The sequence below is a fragment of the Homo sapiens genome, chromosome 21 (genome assembly GCF_000001405.40).
Source record: "Homo sapiens chromosome 21, GRCh38.p14 Primary Assembly".
Lineage (NCBI taxonomy): Eukaryota > Metazoa > Chordata > Mammalia > Primates > Hominidae > Homo > Homo sapiens.
Window position 1 is genome coordinate 42,535,818 of NC_000021.9, and position 19,119 is coordinate 42,554,936.

General features: G+C 48.3%; 1 protein-coding gene across 19 annotated transcripts in view, besides 7 other annotated features; it reads left to right on the plus strand.

Annotated features, from left to right (window-relative positions):
- SLC37A1 (solute carrier family 37 member 1) overlaps positions 1–19,119 on the plus strand; it is an 81,805-nt gene that overhangs the window by 36,196 nt on the left and 26,490 nt on the right. For all 19 annotated transcript variants that reach the window (NM_018964.4, NM_001320537.2, XM_047440843.1 and 16 more), the window contains 5 exons: positions 3,695–3,830; positions 6,587–6,663; positions 7,619–7,785; positions 11,286–11,323; positions 18,245–18,325. In NM_018964.4, the coding sequence (NP_061837.3) occupies positions 3,695–3,830; positions 6,587–6,663; positions 7,619–7,785; positions 11,286–11,323; positions 18,245–18,325 (499 nt within the window). The remainder of the gene's footprint in view (positions 1–3,694; positions 3,831–6,586; positions 6,664–7,618; positions 7,786–11,285; positions 11,324–18,244; positions 18,326–19,119) is intronic.
- Positions 31–220: an enhancer, noted in NCBI's record as "active region_18526". NCBI's record gives its function as "activates an Ori minimal core promoter by ATAC-STARR-seq in GM12878 lymphoblastoid cells {active_cell/tissue: GM12878}" and the evidence as "EXISTENCE:reporter gene assay evidence [ECO:0000049][PMID:35858748]".
- Positions 251–300: an enhancer, noted in NCBI's record as "active region_18527". NCBI's record gives its function as "activates an Ori minimal core promoter by ATAC-STARR-seq in GM12878 lymphoblastoid cells {active_cell/tissue: GM12878}" and the evidence as "EXISTENCE:reporter gene assay evidence [ECO:0000049][PMID:35858748]".
- Positions 4,625–5,290: an enhancer, noted in NCBI's record as "H3K27ac-H3K4me1 hESC enhancer chr21:43960552-43961217 (GRCh37/hg19 assembly coordinates)". NCBI's record gives its function as "activates a minimal SCP1, AML or CMV promoter by ChIP-STARR-seq in primed H9 embryonic stem cells {active_cell/tissue: H9 hESC(primed)}" and the evidence as "EXISTENCE:reporter gene assay evidence [ECO:0000049][PMID:30033119]".
- Positions 6,306–7,236: an enhancer, noted in NCBI's record as "H3K4me1 hESC enhancer chr21:43962233-43963163 (GRCh37/hg19 assembly coordinates)". NCBI's record gives its function as "activates a minimal SCP1, AML or CMV promoter by ChIP-STARR-seq in naive H9 embryonic stem cells {active_cell/tissue: H9 hESC(naive)}" and the evidence as "EXISTENCE:reporter gene assay evidence [ECO:0000049][PMID:30033119]".
- Positions 9,440–9,977: an enhancer, noted in NCBI's record as "H3K27ac-H3K4me1 hESC enhancer chr21:43965367-43965904 (GRCh37/hg19 assembly coordinates)". NCBI's record gives its function as "activates a minimal SCP1, AML or CMV promoter by ChIP-STARR-seq in primed H9 embryonic stem cells {active_cell/tissue: H9 hESC(primed)}" and the evidence as "EXISTENCE:reporter gene assay evidence [ECO:0000049][PMID:30033119]".
- Positions 9,464–9,687: a silencer, noted in NCBI's record as "fragment chr21:43965391-43965614 (GRCh37/hg19 assembly coordinates)". NCBI's record gives its function as "represses an EF-1alpha promoter that drives an FKBP-Casp9 reporter gene in an ReSE screen in HepG2 liver carcinoma cells {active_cell/tissue: HepG2}" and the evidence as "EXISTENCE:reporter gene assay evidence [ECO:0000049][PMID:32094911]".
- Positions 9,978–10,513: an enhancer, noted in NCBI's record as "H3K27ac-H3K4me1 hESC enhancer chr21:43965905-43966440 (GRCh37/hg19 assembly coordinates)". NCBI's record gives its function as "activates a minimal SCP1, AML or CMV promoter by ChIP-STARR-seq in naive and primed H9 embryonic stem cells {active_cell/tissue: H9 hESC(naive and primed)}" and the evidence as "EXISTENCE:reporter gene assay evidence [ECO:0000049][PMID:30033119]".

Below are 19,119 nucleotides of genomic sequence, written 5' to 3' on the forward strand. Positions count from 1 at the left end.
CCCTGAAGTTTAGGACCTACCATGAATCCTGCCAATCCTGGGACGTGGTCATTCAGGAACAGAGGACTAGTTTCCTGTTCAGCAGAGCCCAACCTCTCCTGTGGTTCAGAGGTTGCCATCTGTTTATATGCCCCAAATAACGAATTTCACCTGATGATCGAAACAGTTGACACAGGATGTGCTGAACAGCTCTACCTGGATGCCCAGCTTGGCCCCAGAACTCTGAGCACAGCAGAGGCAGCCATGCATGGCGGGTGGGGAACTCCAGAGAGAGACCGGCTCGGATCTGAGTCCCAGCTCTGAGTACAGCAGAGGCAGCTCTGCGTGGTGGGCAGGGAACTCCAGAGAGACACCAGCTGGGATCTGAACCCCAGCTCTACCACCTGCTAGGATGTGGCCTTGAGCAAGTTACTATACCTCTTTGGGCCTCAGTTTCCCCTTTGCAACATGGAGGAAATAATAGTTCTTATGTCATAGGATTGGGGCAAAGATTGAGTTAATGTATGTAGAAGCTCACAACGGTGCCTGGCCTGTGCTGCCAGCCCAGCCCATTCTTGATCCCACTTTGAACTGACCAAGGCAGGTGGTGAATATTATATGGGTCATAGGACGTGTGATTGGCTGATTAAAAACTGCTATTGTGTCAGTCCAGCCAGGTTTTTTTTTAAAGGCAGTATAGGGATGTTCTAGCCCATTTTCTGTTGCTATTAGCACAATATCTGAGCTTGAGTAATTTATAATGAAAAAAGGTGTATTTAGCTTTTATCTAACTGGGAAGTTCAAGATTGGGCAGCTGCATCTGGCAAGAGCCTCGTGCCACATTGTAATGTGGTGGAGGGCGTCACCTAGCAGAGGCCCCTGTGAGATGGGTTAGCAGTGAGCAGGGCATACAAAACAGACACAGCACAGGGGTGACGTTGCTTTATAGCAACCAGCTCTCACCTCTCACAATAGCTCATCAGTCCTGAGAGCGCGGCCACTCACTCCTGCGGATTCATTCCTTCGTCAAGGCGGATCCCTCATGACCCAAATGCCCTTCAAAGCTCCCTGTACCTCTCAACACAGTTATACTGGGGACCAAGCCTCAACACAAGTTTTGATGGAGACCAACCATAGTCACACCACAGCCAGAGACTGAGGCATGTGGTCCCAAGAGGCTTTTGTTCAGAGACAGAGGTCTTTACCGCCTGGAGAAACCCAGGGATCCCCATAAATGTTTAGCTGCTTCCCTGAGACCTGCCCAGAGTGTAGGATCATCAAGACCTGGGCCCCCCTACCCCGCTCAGAGCCCTGGTGGGTGGTTGGTGCCCAGGCAGGCAGTGTCTGCTGTTGGAGGAGAGTGCATAGCTCTCCCTTTATTGAACGTGTGTATTTGCCTCCTGCTGCAGAACTTGTCTAAGTGAACAAATGAATAATAAAGATTTGGAATCCCAGAGTGTGTGGTGTGCAGCAGACCAGGAGCCTAGCTGGAGAGTGTGGTGTGTACCTGGGGCTTCCTTAGCGCTTGGGTCTCAGCCAGGCTGCCAGACCTTCTCCACTTTGAGGTCAAATGTTTATATTCCCCACACTGCAGTCTTACTGAACACAAATAATCTGTGGTATAAAAAGACCCAAAGTGGGAATGTGTTTTTCTCAGTTACTGGAAAACTGCATTTAAATCTGGTTCTCAGCTGGGGGCAGTTTTGTCTCCTAGGGGACATTTAGTAATGTCTAGAGACATTTGTGGGTGTCACAGCCAGGGAAGGGATGTTGCTGGCATCTAGTGGCTAGAAACCAGGGTGCTGCTAAACATCCTACAACACACAGGACAGCCCCTAACACCACAGAATTACCGGAGCCAAAGTATCAATAGTGCTGGGGTTCAGAAAGCCTGCTTTAAGTAAATAAACTGGTTTCTTGTTGCTTATTTACGGTAAAGATAATTCTTATGCAACTTGTCAGTAAGGTTATTAAAACAAAATTTGGTCTAATGTGACATCTACACAGTAAACTCATGACTGAAAACAAGGGCACATGCTGCTGCATTGAAGGGGCCTTTTTGTGTGACAGTCCCTACCTGAGGTCTCAGTGATGGGTGCTGTTTTGTTCGCTATGTCAGATGAAATCAGATCTGATAGGGTACAGCCATTCAGCCCAGGTACTGCCTGGTGGGTTCAAGCAGGTGCAGCGTGGACTTGAATCCCTGTATGAGTCCCATGTAATGTGAAATGGTGTTTGTTCAATTAGACCTTTTCTTTAAAATTTTTCAGTAGAGATCAAAGTAGGCCCAAATCATATAGCAAGATTAGAGAATACTTCTAAGCCTAGCCAGCAGCACCCAGCTCTCAGGAGCCCATCTGGTTGTGCCAGCTGTGCTGTGACCTGGGCAGGTCAGCCAGCCTCTCAGGGACCTATCTCCTGGTCTCTGAAGTGGGCAGGTTGAAGTCAGTAACTCTCTAGCTCTACAATGCTCTTGAGTCTGTGTGTGGTGAGGTTTTAGCTGAAATTTTCACCTGGATGTTGTCTATAATTTTAAGTTACTTTCTTCTGCTTTAGTGTTTAAAAGGTCATTTGCATGATCCAAGGTAGATCTTTTTTACTTGGTGAATTCGGAAGGAAAATCTCTCTGGCGTAGGTTTTTGAGATGAAAGCTGAGAACATTGGAGCTGACTCCCGGAGTGGGGTTCATGGCAGGCAGGTGTCACTGTGTGTTAGGTTTCCTGTTTATCTGACTCCTAGAATGACCCTACAGAAGAAAGTGAGACCCATAGAGTCTCTAATGCTTGTGAAGGGCTCACGTCCATCCGTGATACTCTACAGCTTTTCTGTTTACTTAATAAGTCACAATGTTAAGTTGGTCCATAGTGACATTTCCCATAAAACAGTAAGGGATGTTTTGGATGGCATTAGGTATTGTGCTGTGATGGCGGCTAAAGACTGTTAAGTCTGTTCCCTGCTGTGAAGCTGGAGACTTTTTACCACCCCCCTCGAGGCTGTTTTAGTGAGGCGCTAAGCATCCCTTATGCCACCAGGTCCCCAGACAGCTCTAGAAGATAAGACACCAAAGAGGGTAGCTGTTTAGTGAATCGCATTGCTGTTCAGAAGGATCAGAGAGATGCCACCCCAGCATTTCAGACCTTACCATAGAGCAAATCTTCTGCCTTTAAATCAGGTCAAAGTGGTGTGGCAGGAGGCGGTAGTGGCAAAGCAGCTGAAAGCCACTTCCCCACTGAGCCCAGCCAGCCAGGTGTATTAACACAGGTGACTTAATTACAGCTCGTGGGGCCGAATGACTTGCTCAGGGTCATAAGTGATCTCATGACATTTGGTGTAGTTTGACAACTGGAATTTTAAGACACTATATACATTTACTGGATATGGTTTATGTGAAAGCAGGATTAACTAGCAAGACGAGTTCCTGTTTCCTTTCATTGGCAGCTATCATAGATAAGTCCTAGTGTTTGAATTTTATTATTTGACAGATAGGACTTCTACTAGAAATAAAATCTTCTAAGATGTTGCCAGTCTCTGGTTTCTGGTGAGTAAGCGCTCCATAGGGAAATAAGTGTATGAAATCTTCCTGGAAATTGTAAGGCTTGAGAGTTCCCCAAGCTCAGAGAACAGCATGAAAGCATCCGGCAAGAAACAGCCACGAGGTTGCTAACATTCGGGCGTGTTTGTTATTCCTATTTGTCTTTCCTTCTCTCCACCTCAGTGGCATCATTGGGGAGCGCCTGCCGATTAGGTATTACCTAACTTTCGGGATGCTCGCCAGCGGAGCCTTCACCGCCCTGTTCGGCTTAGGGTATTTCTACAACATCCACAGTTTCGGATTCTACGTGGTAACTCAGGTAAGGGTTTGGATCCGTGGCTCACCATGTACGGGGTTTCCTTGGTGAATAGGGTGGAGTGTTTATGTCACGTCACCTCTGTCAAGGTGTTGGGAAGGGGCAGAAGTGCGTCCTGTCGGAAGTCAGGGTCAGCTGACGTAACAAAGTCCTTCCCTTTCTCTTCTGCTTAGAAATTCCAGCAACCAGGAGGTTTTCCTTAATTTCAGGAGTTGCCTCGTAAAAAATGCTGTCTGTCAGTGCCCCGGCAGGGAAACTGACATGCAGAGCCCTTGGGAGTCACTCTGTCTTCATGTGGATAAGTTTGAAATGTTTTATCTTGCGAAAGATTTGACCACTTAGGGGTTGGAGGGTGTGTCCTCCAGCTGAAGCCCCAGCTGCAGTCACCCTAACAGCGGTGGCAGGGAGTTCCCACCAGGGGAGCGCCCCAAACCATCCCAAGATGGGGCTGGTTGGGATTCCAACGAACAAAGCACTAAATGCTGGGTGATCAATTTAAAGCATGTATTAGGGGAACTTACATACTGAGGGCTGCAGTGTATGGTCGCAACACACAGCGGGACAGGGCGTTCCACCTAGGTCTGTCCACAGTGAGGGGTTGGCATATGGAGTTTATTTGAGGGTTTAAGGAATTTGGCTCAGGGCCAGGGTTAGTTTCTTTCCATGTTTTGGGTCAACAACTGAAACACCTTTATCAGTGCCTAGGAGTGTTCAGGGACCAACTTGGGTCCAAGCCTACAAAGGAAAACCTGCAGCTGGTTGGGTCACAGTGAGAGGAAAAAGGGGGAGACCTGAGGAGTCTACAGAGGGATGCAAGGGCGGAAGGAAGGGCCGACTTTGGAGTTGGGCAGCAGGAGGGGGTGTGAGGCAGTCAGTGGAGAGAACAGGAGAGATCATGAAGGTGCTAGAAGGGGAGAAGGCCTGAGGACAGCGCGCGCTGGCTTTGCCCTTGGAGCTGGAGCCCTTCCGGAATCTCCTGGCTTCTGCCCTTCCCAGCAGTCCTGTGGATCAATATTCAGCAGCCGAGGGAAGCTGCTGAAATAATGATGCTCATCTCGGGCTTTGTGATGCTTCTGGGGCTCCCCAGATAGGTCAGGGGAATGCTATAAAACCATCAAGCAGATTGTATTTAATTTTGCTTTTCAAGATTTTGCCATAACACTTGAAAAAGTTTGGCTATTTTAATTACAAAAGCAATTCACACTTGTGTAGTAATATAGAAAATTAGAAGGGAGGAGAAAACAATTTTCCAGAGTCCCAGCATGTTTCTGGAGTGAAGGCCCAGCCCGGTCAGCCCAGAGGCAGCAACAGTTAGACCAGCGGCTCCCAGGCGTCTTCTAGAGCAGCAGTTTCCAACCTTTTTGGCACCAGGGACCAGTTTTGTGGAAGACAGTCTTTCCACTGGGGACCAGGGTTGGGGAGAGGAGGATGGTTTGGGGATGAAACTGTTCCCCCTCAGGTCATCAGGCATTCGATTCTCATAAGGAGCGCACAACCTGGATCCCTCACATGTGCAGTTCACAGTAGGGTTCGCGCTCCTATGAGAATCTAACGCCCCGCTGATCTGACAGGAGGTGGAGCTCAGGCGGCAATGCTTGCTCTCCCACTACTCACCTCCTGCTGTGTGGCCCGGTTCCTAATAGGCCACGGATCAGGACTAGTCTGTGCCTGGGGTTGGGGACCCTGCTCTAGAGAGCTGGCTTACTGCAGTGAGGTGGTCAGAGCTGCCAGGCTGGCCCAGGGTTGGGGACCCTGCTCTAGAGAGCTGGCTTACTGCAGTGAGGTAGTCGGAGCTGCCAGGCTGGCCCTGGTTTCGTGCAGTCTTGTAGAGCCACCCCCGAGTCTCAAGACGCTAGAGCGTCCTCAGCAATACATTCCCCAAGTCCCTTCATGAAACTCAAGTCAGGGATTCTTCAAAAGTGCAGAGATACTTTGTCCAGGCGCGAAGTCAAGTTCGTGTTCATTCCAGAGAATGATTAACAACAGTACCTTCTCCATGGCATGGTAAGGGAAACATGCAATTCACAAGCCATGTTTATCATACAATTCTATAAACAGTTCATAAAGAGAAGAAAGGTTTTCTCTCTTTAAAAAGTTTGTATTTGTTTATTTTTTGAGATGGGGTCTTACTGTGTTGCCCAGGCTGGAGTGCAGTGATGCAATCACAGCTCACTACAGCCTTGACCTCCCAGGCTCAAGCAATCCTCCCATCTCAGCTTCTTGAGTAGCTTGGACCACAGGTGTGCACCACCACACCTGGCTAATTTTTAATTTTTTGTAGACAAGGGGGTCTCTCTATATTGCCCAGGCTGGTCTCAAATTCCTGAACTCAAGAGACCCTCCTGCATTGGTCTCCCAAAGTGCTAGAATTACAGGCATGAGCCGCTGCACCTAGCCTCTTTCTATGAAGTTTTTGGATTCAAAAGAGACCGGGAAGCTTGGCCCCACACTGTTATGAGGTGTGATCTGCTGGTGGTGGGGTTCTGGCTGGGTTTTTTTTCCTCGCTTTTCTCTGCTTATTCTAAAATTTCCACAATAGGCATGCATTGCTTTTATTTTGAAAAATATATAGATACCTGTATACATGGTTTTAAAATATATATGTAGTTTAAACTGTATATAAATATAAAATTGACAGTCCATCTCTGGCTGTCGTGCCCCCTGCTTTGTGTAAGTGGAGCAAGCTCTGTGCACCTCCCTGCAGCGCTGTCCCGGGCCTGCTTCCCACAGGTCAGTCTCTCCTTTGGCCTCTCCTGCAGGTCATCAACGGGCTGGTGCAGACCACCGGCTGGCCCAGCGTCGTCACCTGCCTCGGCAACTGGTTTGGAAAAGGAAGGTGAGAAAAAGCAGCCCTGTTTCCAATAGCAGATGAAAACTAGACCATTTTACTTTTAGTTTTTCTGTAGACTGATTACAGCAAAAACACTTTAGTATCCTCTTTAAAATAAGATGGCTGAAACCTCTGGGGCTTGAATTGCTGAAATTCAGATGGCCTGTGTCCCACGAGACAGGGGAGCTCCGCCCTCCCACTGTGGGCCTGGTGAAGTCCGTGTCACTCGGCGGCTCCTCTGACAGCTGCATCTGGCCTCCCAGGTGTTGTGGGAGATGCAGAGTCCAGGACCCTGCCCCAGGCCTTTTGAAGCCAAAGCTACATGTTAACATGGGAGTTTGGGAAGTCCCGACCTGGGTCACCCAGCGCACAGCACCAAAGTAGCAGAGCTGGGACCCAGCCTGGCGAGTCCAGATTTATTTGTAAATGGCTTTTATTTTATACAGATAAAATTTATTTATTTGTAAAATTCAGCTCAGCCAGGCCAAAGGCTTATTTATGGTGGACGATCGCAAACAAGATGCGGAAGCTAAAACGGGAACACCAGCGTCATCAGGTCTTAAGTCTTAGATACTGTGCCTCATTCACCTGGTGTGTGCATCCATGAGTTTTGTTCAAATGACAGTTCATCAAGTGACTGTATGTATTAATTGATTGTAGAGGCACAAATTTTAATTTCAGGCCTTCCAAGACTTTCAGGGAAAGGCCTCTTTCTTCTTCTTGAGTACAGAATGCGCTCAGAGCAAGAGGTAGAATGGGTGATGGCACAGCCTGAGGCCACATAAACACATCAGCTCTCGTGAGCATCGCGAGTCCTGCATGGCACAGAAGCAGGGTCTGCATGGCCCCCCGTTGATTCTGCGCCGACTCCCTACTTTGCAGGCACTGCTGCGCCCTGCACTGCTGGACTCGTTTCAGCTTCTCAGCTCCATCTTCTGTCTTCTGTTTTGTTGTGCTGCAGGAGAGGTTTGATTATGGGGGTCTGGAACTCCCACACCTCCGTGGGCAACATCTTGGGGTCATTGATCGCTGGCTACTGGGTGTCCACATGCTGGGGCCTGTCCTTCGTCGTGCCTGGAGCCATCGTGGCAGCCATGGGGATAGTGTGCTTTCTCTTCCTCATTGAACGTAAGTGCACGTGGCCTTGGAGACCACCCACCAAGGGAGGCCTCGGATTTCCCTGCCTGGGTGGGCCTTGGGGGCGAGTGTGAGAGCTGCGTGGCCTAGCGCCCTGTTTGCCCGTGGCTGCCTCAGCGCTCTTCTTACCAGGGAGACTTCCCCGGGGAGCCGGTTCTCTCCTGGTTTTGCTGGATTTCCTACTCTCCCCTGATTCTGGAGTGACCCATGTCCCCATTCCTTCCTCCCGTCCTCCTGTCCTCCCTTGCCCCGGCATCAGGAGTTCATGCATGGGAGTCTTCCATCTTCCCACAGGCTGTTCCTTCTCATGCCCATCTTGCCACCACAGCCTGAATTGGACCCAGTCAGCTCTTTGCCTTCTGATAAGATATATCTTGGACAGTGTTATAAAAGACTGACTTAATATCTTAACTGGGTAAAAAGTATCTCTTGGAAAATCAAATCTCTTATTCCATTTCAGATTCAATAGCAAACTCTTTATTTAATTGAATTTGAAATTCATTTCTGAAGTAGAGATCCAGCAGGCTCTGGTGCTGAGAAGATTCAGGACAGTTACAGCAAGAATAGAGATGCCCGGGTGGCCCTGGCGGTCACACGACAGGGGCTCGAATCCCGCAAGCCATTCTGATAAGCTGTACTCAACTCTTAGTTCTTTGACTGAGTTTAAACCATATGGCAGGAGACAGCTCCCTCATGCTGCCTGCCAGGTAGGGACACTCAGAGCCAGCTCCCTCCAGCCACACTGGGCATTGCTGATCACTTCAGCTCTGCATGCAAAAGTTCATCCATATTCCATTTAGTCGCTCACTTTTTTTGTCTTGCAAAAGCTAACCTTTTAATTTTTAAGGTAACCATCATCTGGCCACACTGTGAGTTTGGAGACTCTCACCCCATGCTTCTGTGTTGGTGAAAATGGAAATAAACATTCAGATGAGGAATGTCCAGACACACCCATTGGTGTGAGCAAAAAGTGGGGGCCCCGGGCTGCACTCCGCTCCCCTTTCCCCGCTTCTGCAGAGGCTGAGTAAGCCTTCGGCCACACCCCAAACAGCCTGAGCAGGGGCCTCCTGGGATGGGTGGGGGTCTGGATCCCTCCCAGTGGGCCAGCATGTGGCTTTCAGCTCTGGCTGGTGTGTCACTGCAGTTCTGAGAAAGGCCATTTCCACCACCTGTTTTCTTCCGCTCTGGTTCCTAGAACCTGGAGTTCTGTGCCCCTGCGCTCCAAGTGTTTGAGACACCAGCCACCCGGAGAACAATGTGCCTCTCTTTGTTAGCGCACAGGGGCCCCTGGGTGTCTCCTGCCTGAGGGTAGAGTCCATGGGGTCTTCTGTTCTCTTCCTTAACTGGAAAGGGGCTGGCTCTGGGGAGAAAAGGACATGTGGAAGGGAAAGGAGCTTGCTCAATGGCCGGGACCTCAGCACCCGCTCCAGGCATTCACGGCCCTATGTTGATGTTTGTCTCTGTAAGCAGAGAGAGCTCAGCTCTTGTGAATAAGCCTCCCTGATCCAATTTGGGCAGATAGCAATGAGCCAGATGCCCCCTGTCCCTGGGTCCTCTGGCCACAGGCCCACTCACCTACAGGAAGGCTGCATGCTTCATCTCTAGCCAAACAAAACCAAACTACCAGAACCTCCTGCCCAGGGAATCTTTCTGACACTCTTTCCCCTTGTGCCTGGGAGGTGCACTGTGTCTGAATGATGAGACCCAGCTGTGACAACAGTGGCTGGATGCTGAGTCTGAGAACAGGAGCTCTTTGCAGATAGGGAGGAAACATCAAGTGCCCCTTGGTTTGTTTCTGCCCCTCCTTGTCCCGAATCACTGATCCTGGGCAGGTACTAAAGGCATCAGATGTGCCATTCTTGCGGTCAACAGAGGATGTGGCTTTCTCTGCTGCTCCTTCACTCTTGTCTCCTGCCCAGGGTGAGCCCCAAAGGACAGGGCGTCCCCTGCTCCTTTCTCAGGCCTCTCTGAGTCTCCTTTCTGAAGCTGTTCTCAAATGTGTCCCAGCCAAGGGACGTGTGTGCCCAAGTCCCTGAAGGTGAAAGTCCAGGAAGAGCCATATCAGGGGAAGCCCCTGGCTTACCCCTGGGGGCATCACACTGTGAGTGGATACCGATGGGGTGAGTTGGCTGATGTCCTTTAAATTGGTGACCATACATCACAGGTGGACCATTGGGACTGCCCAACATGCCGACCATGTGTCCTTGGTCAGTGGCCTCGCCCTATGGGCTGTGCCCAGGACAGGAGGGCGACGCACCCCACAGCCAGCCACGGACCTCTGGGTGCAGACCCACCTGGCCCTACGGCATGTTGATAATAACCTTATCAACAAAACCCAGACAAGAGGTTTGATGCTGGCCTCGAGGCCAGCAGGAGTGTGCTCGGCAGCTGCATGTCCCTCTATGATGTCACCCTGTGTTGTATGGGAATGGACTTGGCTGTGGGGAGCCTGCAGCCCTGTAGCTCAGTTTGGGTTGCAAGGCAGTAACCAGTTTCATCCAAGGTGATAAAGAGACCAAGGTGCTTGGTAGTCAGAGGGGGCTGCAGAGGTGGAGCGAGAAGCAGTAGGGCTGGTTTCCCGCAGCACCTAGAGGCCTGGGGTCTGACTCTGGGTTCCCGCATTGCTCGGGGCAGGTTGCTGGTGTCTGTAAAGGACACGCTGAAGCCTCACTTCTGGTTCTGTTCCTTTTCAAGTTTCCTCCCTTCCTTGCATTTACACAAAGATGTTTGTTCCATATCAAGATAGATGTTTTATCTCCACTCATTTTTATTTCTAATGAATTTCATAACATGAAATACCTCATTACAGACATTCTTCCAGCCTCGCTCCCCTGATGTGCTTTTCCTGGTTTTGCTTTTCTTCTGGGGCTTGTCCTCTGAATGAGAGTCGTGGGCTTGTCCACACAGCGTCCGCATGCTCTGCTTGTGATTATTGGCCACGCTGGGAAGTATTTTCCATATTTAAAGTAGCGTTCACGTTCACAGTGTTGGCACTGGCTGGCGGTGATCTGCCATACCCCCCTTGCACACAAGTGGGCTGCCAGGCCGAGTGACTGGGGACAGGCCGGGGCGTGTGCGGGAGTCACTGGTGGGACAGCCAAGCTGTGCCCTTGCCCTCACCTGGCATGCTATGGCGATGGCTTTTTTCTGAAACGAATGCCAATTTAGTAAAGGTATAAGATGGCATCTTGTGTTTTATTAAATTTTATTGTGTATATTTAAGGTATGCAACATGGTGTTACAGATACATAGAGATAGTAAAAAGGTTACTAGTAAAGCGAAGCAAGTTAACATAGCCATCGCAACTCACAGCTGCCCGCTTTTGTTTTTGTGGCAAGAGCAGCTCAAATCCACTCATTTAATGTGAATCCTGCATACAGTCCAGTTTCACACCCGGTGCTCCCGTGTTGCCCTGTCCTCGGGTTACGTAGCTTACTTGGCATTGCCATGGTGGTGGACCTGCTCAGCCTCACTCATGTTTGCTCTTTCAGATCCGAACGACGTCAGGTGCTCCTCCACCCTGGTGACGGTAAGGACCCTGTTTTCTTGTCCTTTTCTAGAACAGTGTGCGGTTCTGACCACTTCCCCAGCCTGCTCCTGCCTGTGCGGTGTCAGACAGAAACACACAGGGTAGACAGAAGTCCCACCCTCAAAACATTGGCAGTTCTAGGAATAGAGAATATTCTGTTTTGGGTTTCGCTGATAATAACCTTATCAGCAAAACCCAGACAAGAGGTTCAATGCTGTCCAGATGAAGGACTTCATGCTAAGGGGAACCAAAGGCTGGGCCCTGGCCAGGCCTCCTCAGGAGTGGAGACCTCCTGGTTTCCCCAGGGGCCTCAGTGTGACGGGGAAAAACGCACGTGTCAGCTGCCTGCCATCACTTAAGTTGGTGGCTGCACGTCTCAGGTGGCCGAGAGGTCTGCCCAGCACGCCATTCCTTCTCTTCTGTACCCCTGCCCAGCTCAGCCAGCGTAGGCCCTGCAGGCAGGATTGCTGACCACGTTGGCTGCCATGAATGAGCCCTGCCCTAGCTGCCTCCACCCGCAGCCAGTCACCACTGGCCACTTTCCCACCTGGCTAAGGCCAGCCCTCCCGCGGTACCGGTCCCCTCCCTCTCATGGCCCAGGGCTTGACTCCCGCAGACACACCCCCCGCCCCAAATACCATTCCTGGCACACTCATGTAGTATTGGTGGCTGTCTTGGAAGAAAGTCCCTCTGGCCCTCATGCCTGCTCCCAGCCGCCCCGCTCCCCATGTCCACTGGCATGACACCCCTCCTGTCTGCAGGCCACCGCCACCTCACGGGAACAGCCCATCAGATCCCAGCAACGTCACCCGGACACATAGGGTGGTCAGCTCTCTGGCCTCACCCTGCTGGGCCCGTCGCCCGCGTCTGACCCAATGCTTCCCTCCCTCTGGGGGTCAGCTCTCTTCCCTCCCTCTGGGAAAGGCTCCCCTACCCGGGCTAACATGTTAGTCACGTCTGTGCCGAGTGTCAGACCCCAGATGTGGGGGTGCCCCCAGGCTGCCCTGCGGCCTCCTCTCTCCTTGTCTGCCCGCTCACTGCAGGAGAGCGCGCTCGGGCCTTTCAGCGGCTCCAGGTGCGTTGATGTCGAGTCACCATGCTGTCCCCAGAGTGACCCACCCCTGAGCTCCGCAATCTGAGGTCTCACCACCACTCAACCTTCCCACGGAGATGTCTGAGTGTCCTTCAGACTTAACACGACTGGAGGAGATCTCTTGATTTTACCCCTGCACAAGCCGATCCCCCAGCATCCCCCATCTCAGTCAGGAAGCTGCTGTCCACCCTGTGGACAGGCCAGACCCGAGGAGCCAGCCCAACACCCCCTCCCTTCAGCCCCGCACCCCATCCTTGGCCATGTTCTGTCAGTTCTGCTCTGTTCTGTGAGGGGATGTGGAATGGAAACCCTCTCACCTCCTCCGCCTCTACCACCCTGGTCCCCGTCACCACCGTCAGCTCTCCTCCGAGCCACTGCTCATCAGCCTCCTAGAACGATCCACTCTTGCTCCCCAGAATCTCTTCTTCACACCGCACTTGCAGAGACTGTATTGATACAGACGCCAGAGCACATCAGCCCTTGCACAACACAGTCCAGTGGCTCCATGTCGCCCCGTGTGAAATCCTCACCAGTCCATCTGGTTGGTCTCTGTCACCCTCACAGAAGGGTGCGAGCCCCTCGGGCCTGGATCATCACTGGGTCCCGGCACCTGGGGCAGCACCTGGCCTCGTGCGGGAGGGGGGCCAGAGTCCTTTTTCTGTCTTTTCATACCTCGGGCTCCTGGGTGTGATTCATATGGAAAGAAGGGTTCTGATACTTGATGACAAAAACAAAGAAACAAAATGAAGTTTGAAAACCAGTGCCTTCAGGAAGGTCAAACACCATATGATGTTCTTAAAACTATGGTTGATATTTTAAAATGTTTTAAAAAGCCGTGTTCCTGCCCTGAGCATGAATTTCAGTTTCCAAGCTTGTACAGTCGTGCCGTGAAGTAGCTTAAAGCTGCCCGGACCAGCCGTCTTGAGACTGGGGAGAACTTCGCACACACCTTCCGCCCTGGAACACCTTCTGTCCTCTAAGAAGAGCTTTTCTCACCCAGGGGCGGCCAGGCCTGAGGATAGGAAGCAGGCGTGCAGGGGGTTTTGGGGAGGAGCAGCTCTTCCTCACACACAGCTTTTAGGAATATGAGAGCTCATCTAGGCGAGAGGCATTGCTTCTGCTCCTCGTGTGTATGAGTTTGGGGCTGAAGCCTGTGTTTCATTCTCCCCGTTCAAATCCTCTCCGAGCAGTTCACTGAGATCTACTGGTGCCCAGGTGTCCCCGACGTGCCCTGAGGCAGGTGGTCCAGAGAAACAGCTTCTCGTCCTCTCTCCTCTCCATGTTGGCTGGTCGCAGAGGGAGAGATGGCTGATATCTGGGGATATTTTATCAGCTTCTGCAAACAGCCCCAAAGTTCTTTTTCCTGCAGGAATGTTACCTGCTCTGTGCAGGACACCAACGAGACCCTTGTCACGGGCCTTCCTGAGGGAGCTGAGGGCAGTTTGGCCAATGTCCCATCAGCTGCTGTCCTTCTGTAGTATCTTCCCTTTATCACAAATGGGAGCTTTTGGGCAAAGCAAAATGCATTTGTAAGAGATTTCAGATGTGCTGACTTGTTCTGGGAAGTTCCCATGTGGAAGTGTTATTTTTAGGATAAAATTCTAATTTTTTCCAATATTTTAAAGTTCTTGTTATGGAGACTTTAAACATATAAAAAGGTAAAAATAACAGCATAACGAACCCCTGTGTACCCATTACCCAAGTTTCCAACAGTTGGCCAATCTGACTCTATCAACGCCCCTTCTAATACTATCCCTTCCCACCTCCTGCTGATGTATTTTGCAAGCAAATAGCAATCATCTTAATATTTTGTCTCTGACTACTTCAGTATGTTTCCAAAATATAAGGACTCTTTTATGTGAAACAAAATGTACTATACCATTATCACACTTAAAAACCAATGGCAAAGAATAGAAAAACAGTAGAGAAAATCAATGAAACCAAAAGTTGGTTCTTTGGAAAGATCAACAAAATTGATCATCCTGCACCTAGACTGACCAAGAATAAAGGAGGACTCAAATTACCAAAATCAGGACCAGGAAAGGTGGCATTTCTGCCACATTTACTGAAATAAAATGGATTATGAGGGAACTATATGCCAACCAATTAGAAAACTTTGAATAAATGGAAAAATTCATAGAAGGACAGAAACTACCAAAACTGACTCAAGAGAGGAGGAAATCTGAATAGATCTAAAACAAGTAAAGAAATTAAATTGTTAATTTAAAAACTTCACTCAAAGAAAATCCCAGGACCAGATGGCTTTACTGGTAAATTCTGCCAAACATGGAAAGAAGAGCTAATACTAATTACTCACAAACTCTTCCAAAAAATAAAAGTGGGGGGAAACTTCCTAATTCATTCTATGAGGTGTTATCGTAATAACAAAAGACTAAAACCTCTTAAGAAAACTGTACAACAGTATCTTTTATGAGTGTAGATGCAAAACTCAATAGCAGCAACCAGAATTCAGCCACCTACAAAAGGATTATTTACCATGATCAAGTGGGATTTATCCCAGGAATACACAGCTGGCTTAACAGGTAATGTTAATGTAATACACCATTTGAATGGATAAAGGACAAAAGCTGCATGATCATCTCAGTAGAAGCAGGCAAAGCACTGGACAAAATCCAGCACCCTTTCATGTGAAAACACTCAACAAACTAGGAATAGAAAGCAACTTCCTTGACCTGACAAAGGGCATCTAATAAAACCCACACCTCACAGTGTGCTTAATGGTGAAAGACCAGGTGCTTTCCGCCTGAGATCAGGAACAAGACTAGGAGGCCTGCTCTTGCCGTTTCTATTTACCATTGTAATGCAGGCAGGCCAGTTAGGCAAGAAAAGGATATAAACGGCATGCAGATTAGACAAGAAGTAAGACTACTTCTCTTTGCAGATGACATGATCTTTTATACAGAAAATCATAAGGAGTCCTCAAAAAAATGGTTAGAGTGAATTAATAAGTTAGCAAGGTTGCAGAAAACAAGACCAGTATACAAAAATCAATTGTATTTCTATACACTAGCAGTCAACAATCCAAAGATGAAATTAAGGCCGTTTCATTTACAATAGCATCAAAAAACATTACGCGAAGCAGAAGAAACCAGTCACAAAAGGTCACATATTGTATGATTTCATTCATATGAAATGTCCAGAATAGGCAAACCTAGAGATAGAAAGAAGATGAGTGGTTGTCAGGGACTAGGGTGGGAAGAAAGGGGGGATGACTGCTGACAGGTATGAGGTTTCTTTTTGGAGGTGATGAAAATGTTCTCAAATTGTAGTGATGGTTGCAAAACTGAATTTAAAAACCACTGAATTGTGAACATTAAATGAGTGAATGGTACAGTATGTGAATTCTGTCTCAACAATGCTATTACAAATTTTTAAAATCTATAATCCTTTCTATTATCATACAGCTACTCAATGGTCAGATCTGCTGATTGTCTTATAAATGATTTTGCACTGTGTTTGAGCAAGGCCTAGGCAAGGTCCACTCCTTCTGATTGGTTAATTTAATGTGCCTCTTAAGGCTCTTCTAATTTATAGGACCTCAATGGTTTTTTTTGTTTTGTTTTGTTTTGTTTTGTTTTGTTTTTTTGGTTTGGTGTTATTCTCCTTTGAATTGCTTTTGTCAAAATAAAAAATGGTCATTTTTTCTACCAAGTTTCCCACATTTGAGGCTTTGCTGACCTTGTACCTGGGGTGTGTTTCACGTGTTCCTCTATCCCCTGTATCTCCTGTAAACTGGAAACCTTCATCTGATCCAGATTTGATTTTTCTAATTAGTTTTTGTTTCAAATGAATCACAATTAATATGAAAGAGAGTATTCAATTCTTTACCATTTGCCTTGAGTCTGAGGGTGCTAATAAGAATGTGTCTCTTTATGCTTCTGCCCTGTGCTATTGAAGAGCCATGGGAACTTGTTCTTTTGATTTGTATTTGATTCCTAGGTTACTTAGGTTTAGGATATCTATTTTGTGCCCTAATCTAGGACCTCATTGGGTCCAAAACCCTGTATCAGTTGTGTCAAAATTAATGTTTTTATTAATATCTTCAGATTAGTTGGGGTTGTGTTCAGCAGCAAGCAATAGAAAAGCCCACAGGCAGTTACTAAAACAAGATGGGAAGGTATTTCTCTCTTCTATTCAAGAAATCTGGAGAGAGCCAGCCCAGGATGATGTGGGGTGTGCGTGTTGAGTGTCAGGGACACAGACTCCTCTTGTCTTTTCGTTCTTCCCCTGTGCATGGCTTCATGCCAAAGGTGATATATTCCAACCAATTAGAACAGTGCCAGGCACAGAGTTGATGCTTAATAATTATTTGTTGAATGAGTGAATGAATGATTGGTCAGTGGCTGCTGGAGCTCCAGCCATTACATCTGTATTCCAGCCAGCAGGAAGGAGGGAAAGGACATTAGGGACAGGCCCCTTCCCTTTCAGGAGACTTCCTAGCATTTCCTAACATCATTTCTGCTTAGCTGACCACATCAAGCTGAAAAGGAATTTTAAGATAGGCTTTGCCTGAGCACCCACGTTCCTGGCTGAAAAGCAGGAAGAAGAGGGCCCGGGTGATGCTGGCAGCCTCTGCTCACTGCGGGGGACGGGGGGCCGAGTGCTGGGGAGCAGGAACCCATCTCTGCTTCTGCCTGGAATGGTCGGATGATAAACTGGCCAGATAATCACCCCTAGCCTGGCAGGCTTTGCCCTCCCTCTGAGCACAAAACAAATGTATTTTTAAAGGTGTTTTGTTACATTTTCAAGTAATAAGATCAATAGTTTTTCTTAACCTTCAGAAACCTTTTCAGGGGAAATGCCTCGAAATGTAAAGGGTGGGATCCAACTGTCCATCTGAACGGAGTTTAACCCATGCTCTGTCTTCCCCGTGTTTCCCGCCTTTTGGAGGCCCCATAGATCTCTACTTGCAGATCTCACAGTTAGCGTGCAAGCCTGGTGGTTTTTCTTCTCAAATGCATCCAGCACTAGTGCCAGAAATCTAAATCATCTGGGCCTCTCTAAGCCTTAGAAATTGTTTTGTTATCATTTATACTAGAGTGAGTGAATAACATCTTTCTAAGTACAGACTGATTCCTTATTTTAAAGGAAGTTTGTTTGGACTATTTCATCAACAAACAACAACATTTTACCACTGGAGAATTTCAACAATTATTTTTATACCATTAATTATCTTCAAAAGGGGTTCTACATAGAGCCCTGTAGAAATAATGATTAGGAAATGGTACCTTTATTCTAGTGCCCAAGAAACTGCCTTCATTTCTTCACTTTTCACTTGGTAACAGGAGATAATTTTGAAATGATTTTGAGTTTTGGAGTGCATCAGTGCAGTCCTTCCACCTCCCTGCCCTCTAGCAGCAGGTCCACATTCTGGGGCTGTTGAGCAAGCCACACTCTCCTTCCCTAGAGACGGTTTTTTTTTTTTCCTTCAGAAGCATTCGGCTGACCTAGGGAGGGCAGGTGTTCCTCACATGTTAAAGGGAAAGATTGGTCTGTGCCTTTTCATTTCAAAACCATTGAAACAATCTCACGGCCATTCAGAAAAGTTAAGTTGGCTTAATGGGTATTTTTACATTTGATTACACCTCTGTCTTAGCTCTTTCTTCAAGAGAGGATTTTATGCTCACATTCTATTATCTGAGAGTCTGGAGTGTTGAGATCAACCATTATTCTGTTTAAATCAGTTGTCTTATGTCCTCTTGGTAGCTTTTTTGGGACGATAGTAAGTATCCTTGCTACAGTAAAGCCAGGTTTAATTTCTAGCTGTTGAATCAGTATCGCTCTAATGAAACTTTTTTTTTTACCAGCACTCAAAAGGCTATGAGAATGGTACAAACAGATTGAGACTCCAGAAGCAAATCTTGAAGAGCGAAAAGAACAAGCCTCTGGTAAGTCACACACAACTTCCACTTCCTAGAATGTCGGAGCTGCAGGAAAACTCCTTTGAGCCACGTCGGCTCTCTGTCCCTCTGCCTATGTGACATGTGTCACAAACATCCAGGTCTTAAAAAAATTCTGTCTCATTGTATTTCTTCAGTAAAATTTGAGTTTGCCCTTATTGGCTTTCTTTGGATTTTACACTTAACCAGTTCATTCATTCAGCAGCTCCGCACCTTTCAATGTCCCAGGCACTATTCCAGGTGTTGGGGGCGGTGCTGGTGTAGACGGAACGCAGGCAGAGACATCCCCCAAGCGGTGCCAAGCGGCAGGAAGACAGGCTGAGCAGGCTCTATTTTCAGCTGGCCTTGGGAGGCTTCCCTAGGCAGGCAGTGTTGAAACAGAGCTGTGAGGGACTGGAGGGAGAGTCTGCAGGTGCCTGAGCACAGAGGGTGTCAGGGTGAGGGGCGCACGGTGGGCTGGCCACGTGAGGTGCACACAGAAAACTGACATCATGGGACCAAGAAAAGGGAGAAGCAGGTAACAGAAGGAGGCATCTCCACCTCCCCTATGTCACAGATGAGGAATTCCGGACACAGAAATGCTAAGTTAATCTGCCTTGTCATCCGCGGTAGCAGGGAGGCCTCAGTGCAGGTCTGGCCCACCCCTAGCACCTGAGCCTCCTGTGCCCTACCCTTCCCATCATTGATCCTTGTAGAGGCTCCTCACATTGCTGCTGCTTAGCTGACCACACCAAGCTGCAGCGGGCATTTTAAATTTGAGTTTAATCATTGAAGTTATAAGC